At 51.4% G+C, this 5114-nt stretch overlaps 1 pseudogene, besides 2 other annotated features; it reads left to right on the plus strand.

The window, feature by feature from the left end:
* TUBB8P6 (tubulin beta 8 class VIII pseudogene 6) lies at window positions 1156-4577 on the plus strand (annotated as a pseudogene).
* Window positions 1473-2213: an enhancer, noted in NCBI's record as "H3K27ac-H3K4me1 hESC enhancer chr1:242220644-242221384 (GRCh37/hg19 assembly coordinates)". NCBI's record gives its function as "activates a minimal SCP1, AML or CMV promoter by ChIP-STARR-seq in naive H9 embryonic stem cells {active_cell/tissue: H9 hESC(naive)}" and the evidence as "EXISTENCE:reporter gene assay evidence [ECO:0000049][PMID:30033119]".
* Window positions 4350-4851: an enhancer, noted in NCBI's record as "H3K4me1 hESC enhancer chr1:242223521-242224022 (GRCh37/hg19 assembly coordinates)". NCBI's record gives its function as "activates a minimal SCP1, AML or CMV promoter by ChIP-STARR-seq in primed H9 embryonic stem cells {active_cell/tissue: H9 hESC(primed)}" and the evidence as "EXISTENCE:reporter gene assay evidence [ECO:0000049][PMID:30033119]".

The raw sequence follows: 5114 nt of genomic DNA on the forward strand, positions 1-5114 counted from the left end.
ATGCTGGTCAGCATACATAGAGCTGGGTGAGAATTCTCTGAAGAACTAAAATGGGCCAGGGATTGCAGTTTAGTCCAGGGCCCCTCTGGCTGGCAGACTGATGGTAATAAATTACTAATGCCAAGTACCAATCACAGGAAAATAATTCAGCTCTTTCATGATTCGTTTCATCCTAGAAGGATTCTTTATTTCAGTTAATGTCTCATTCGTTTACGGGGATAAATCTTTTCAAGACACTACAACAGATGACTCAGCCCTGTAAGCTCTGTGGCTGAAATAACCAAACAGCCAGCAATTTTTTACTCCTCCAGTTAAACCTGTCCAACATTAAGGAACCTATCCAGGTGAGGACTGGCAACTCTAATTTACTCAGAAGCCTTTCTGCAGGGGATTCAAATATTTGCTAATGCTCACTGATACCTTCGCTGGTTAGATCGAGGCATTCCCCACCCTATCTGAAAAAGTGTTTACCAGAAGAAATAATTCCTCAGTTTGGGTCATCTAAAAGCCTGAAAAGTGACAGTGGCCCATCTTTCACAGCAGACGTATCCCAACACCTATCCTCAGCTTTAGGAATCCAATATCACCTTCACTCTGCATGGAGGCCACAGTCCTCTGGAAAGGTGAAAGGGCTAATCAAACTCTAAAGAAGACTCTAGCTAAGTCAGAGGCCTGACTATCCCTGACACCCACAGCTTACTGAGGGTTTGAACTGCTCCAAAGGAAAACTTATAATTAAGTCCTGTTGAGTCATATGGGAGGCCTTTCCTAACCACAGATCTCCTAATAGATGAAAGGACTCATCAATTACGAAAATATGTCATCAATCTAGGACAGGTGCAAAGGCAATCTGTGAATATGGAAACAAGAGGCTTCCCCTCCCACAGGGGAGGAAAATTCAGTTTCAGCTCAGCTAGGGATTTAGTCTTACTAAAGACGTGGGAGGAAGTTCTCCAGCTGACCAGCTTTCCCCAACGTGGAAAGGACCACGGCAAGGTCACCTGACCTCTCCAACAAACATTACACGCCAAGGGATTCACAGGTGGGTACACCTGTGTGGAAGTAAAGCTGTTGCTTATTCTGGGAGCCCAATCCGAGGCTGGGGGAGGTGGGCGCGGGGCTATTTCAGCGTTGGTGGAGCGCGGGCCCTGTCATTGCGCGTCTGTCTGCTCCTCCTTCTCGCTTTTCTCCTGCCACCCTAGTCCCGCCTTGGCCATGAGGGAGATTGTGCTCACGCAGACGGGGCAGTGCGGGAACCGGATCGGCGCCAAGGTTGGCGGTGGGGGGGCCCTTGAGGGTCCAGCGCGGACCTGCCGGGTGGCCGGGGAAGATGCTGGCAGTGGCGGGGGCGGCGCCCCTGCATTGCCGCCCCTGGGCTCCCTGCCCCGGACCCGGTGGAGCTGGGAGCCTGGCCAGGCGGCCAGGGCGGACCCTCAGGGACCCGGTGGCCTGGGGGTGGGGGTGGAGGTGGGAGAGGGGCTGGGGCGCCTCCTGCTCTCTGTGCTGACTCAGTCCTGGCTTTTCTGGCCCCTCTTGTCTCTCGCAGTTCTGGGAGGTGATCTCTGATGAACATGCCATCGACTCCGCTGGCACCTACCGCGGGGACAGGGACCTGCTGCTGAAGCGTATCAACGTATACTACAATGAGGCCAGCGGTGAGACCCCCGTCCTTCCCCCACTGCCCTCCTGGGCACAGCGGCCCTCCCCTCGCTGATGCCCTTCCGCCCCGCTCAGGTAGCAGGTATGTGCCCCGCGCTGTGCTAACTGATCTGGAGCCGGGCACCCTGGACTCTGTGCGCTCCGGGCCCTTCGGCCAGATCTTCAGGCCGGAGAACTTCATCTTGGGTGAGTTGTGGGTAAAGACTGGGGTGCGGCTCCTTAGCCAGGTAGCTCAAAGTCAAGGAGTGCCCCAAGGTCATGGCTGTGGGAACTGTGGAGCCAGGGCCCCTCAACACCCTCTTATCCTCTGAGTCGCTCTATCTCCCTCTCCTCAACGGGCTTTGGGAGGAGGGCCCAGCTGTCTGCCAGAGGAGAGCAGCTGCTGATGTAATCTCCCTGCAGGGAGCTGAGTGGGAACAGTGGCTGCTGCTTTCCTTGGGAATGGGCAGGAGCCACCTGCAGCGAGGTCTGTTGTTAGGCTGTCTCAGGTTTGGCTCCTGCCTTAATTTCTCTTTCTTTTTTTTTTTTAAATTATACTTTAAGTTCTGGGGAACATGTGCAGGTTTGTTACACTGGAATGCATGTGCCATGGTGGTTTGCTGCACCCATAAACCTGTCATCTACATTAGGTATTTCTCCTAATGCTATCCCTCCCCCCTTCCCCCCACCCCCCACAGGCCCCAGTGTGTGATGTTCCCCTTCCTGTGTCCATGTGTTCTCATTGTTCAACTCCCGCTTATGAGTGAGAACATGCAGTGTTTGGTTTTCCGTTCTTGTGTTAGTTTGCTGAGAATGATGGTTTCCAGCTTCATCCATGTCCCTGCAAAGGACATGAACTCATCCTTTTTTATGGTTGCATAGTATTCCATGGTGTATATGTGCCACATTCTTTACCCAGTCTATCACTGATGGGCATTTGGGTTGGTTCCAAGTCTTTGCTATTGTGAACAGTGCCACAATAAACATGCGTGTGCATGTGTTTATATAGAATGACTTATAATCTTTGGGTATATACCCAGTAATGGGATTGCTGGGTCAAATAGTATTTTCTGGCTCTAGATCCTTGAGGAATCGCCACACTGTCGTTCACAATGGTTGGACTGATTTACACTCCCACCAACGGTGTAAAAGTGTTCCTATTTCTCCACATCCTCTCCAGCATCTGTAGTTTCCTGACTTTTTAATGATTGCCATTCTAGCTGGCGTGAGATGACAGCTCATTGTGGTTTTGATTTGCATTTCTCTGACCAGTGATGAGCACTTTTTCATGTTTGTTGGCTGCATAAATGTCTTGAAGTGTCTATTCATATCCTTTATCCACTTTTTGACAGGGTTGTTTTTTTCTTGTAAACTTAAGTTCTTTGTAGATTCTGGATATTAGCCCTTTGTCAGAAGGATAGATTGTAAAAACCTTCTCCCATTCTGTAGGTTGTCTGCTCACTCTGACAGTTTCTTCTGCTGTGCAGCAGCTCTTTAGTTTAATTAGATCCCATTTGTCAATTTTGGCTTTTGTTGCTATTGCTTTTGGTGTTTTACTGACTTAATTTCTAACGGGAGGCTGCTGTCCTGTAACTTTGGGGGAGGGGGTCCACCTGCTCCACCTGTAGGGTGAATGGTGCTTTCTTGGCCCTTTTTGCAATGTGGCAGTGACCACTGATGACCGCATACCTGGCCATTGAGTGACCGGCTATACTGTCTTACAGGTCAGAGTGGGGCCGGGAACAACTGGGCCAAGGGGTACTACACAGAAGGCACGGAGCTGATGGAGTCAGTGATGGACACTGTGAGGCGGGAAGCTGAGAGCTGTGACTGCCTGCAGGGTTTCCAGCTGGCCCACTCCCTGGGTGGGGGGACTGGGTCTGGGATGGGTACCCTTCTACTCAGTAAGATCCAGGAGGAATACCCAGACAGGATCATAAACACATTCAGCGTCCTGCCCTCGCTCAAGGTGTCAGATGCCGTGGTGGAGCCCTATAATGCCATCCTCTCAATCCACCAGCTCATAGAAAATGCACATGAGACCTTTTGTATTGATAACGAAGCACTGTACAATATTTGTCCCAGAACCCTACAACTGCCCAGACTCACCTATGGTGATTTGAATCACCTGGTATCTGCTACTATGAGTGGGGTCACCACGTGCCTGCACTTCCCAGGCGGTTGAATGCTGACCTGCGGAAGCTGGCCATGAACATGGTCCCATTTCCCTGGCTGCACTTCTTCATGCCTAGCTTTGCTCCACTGACCAGCCAGGGCAGCCGGCAGTACCAGGCCCTGACGGTGGCTGAGCTTATCCAGGAGGTGTTTGATGCTAAGAATATGATGGCTGCCTGTGACCCCGTCATGGCTGCTACCTAATGGTGGCTGCCATTTTCAGAGGTCACATGTCCATGAAGGAGGTGGATGAGCAGATGCTCAATCTTCAAAAGAACAGTAGCCACTTTGCTCATCGGCTCCCTCACAATGTAAAAACAGCCACGTGTGACATCCCATCCAAGGGGCTAGAAATGTCGGCCACTGGAATCAGTAATAACACGGCCATCCAGGAGCTGTTCAAGCGCACTATGGAGCAGTTCACAGCCATGTTCAGGCACAAGGCCTTTCTCCACTGGTACACGGGTGAGGGCATGGATGAGATGGAATTTACCGAGGCCGAGAGCAGCCTGAAAAATCTTATGGCAGAGTACCAGGATGCCACGGCCAAGGCGGAGGAGTTTGAGGAGTCTGCTGAGGAGGAGGTGGCCTAGAAGTTTCCTTTTCTGGGTAAAGGGGGGATGGAGTGTGGATTCTTTAGTGTGTTCTGATAGCCAAGTGTCACTACGCAATTTTTCTTTATGTCTTTACATCTCTTCCTGTTGCACTTCAAAGCATTTTCATAGTATGTGATTTTACCTGATAAAGCATCCTAACAGCATCTGGTTTCACCTCCTACTTCTGTCAGCTCTCTGGGTGCTGCCAGATGGGCATAGTGGTCCTGCAAGGCTGCAGCTGTCTTGGGCTTATCTCATGCCCAGGAACAAGCATTCCAGTGGCTCCAGAAGGGGTCAGCATGGGCTGTGGACATGGCAGGAAGGCTTCACATGAACTTGAGGCTGCCCTGGGCTTTGGGCAGCTACGTGGTGGGAAACCTGTTCCTGAAGGCAAGCCTTGGCTTATCCTGTGTACCGAACTTCCAGGGGACCAGCTGGCCCTCTGTTGCTGGGACTTTAAAAGTGGCCAGTGAGCCCAGTGGACAATGTCCTCAACGTCCCACCTCAGGGTAGGAATGTGGCCAGACAGCTGGCCCTGAACCAGCAATGAAGGGTGAGCAAGTAGGGCCCCAGCTACTCCTCACCATGATGGCCTGGGTGTGTCCGTGTGGCCTCATTCTCCTAATGAGGTGAGCATGGGGTATCTGGCAGGTACTAGTGGGCAGGAATCAAGCCCACTGTGTACTCACATGCACTGAACCCCAT

The sequence above is a fragment of the Homo sapiens genome, chromosome 1 (genome assembly GCF_000001405.40).
Source record: "Homo sapiens chromosome 1, GRCh38.p14 Primary Assembly".
Classification (NCBI taxonomy): Eukaryota; Metazoa; Chordata; class Mammalia; order Primates; family Hominidae; genus Homo; species Homo sapiens.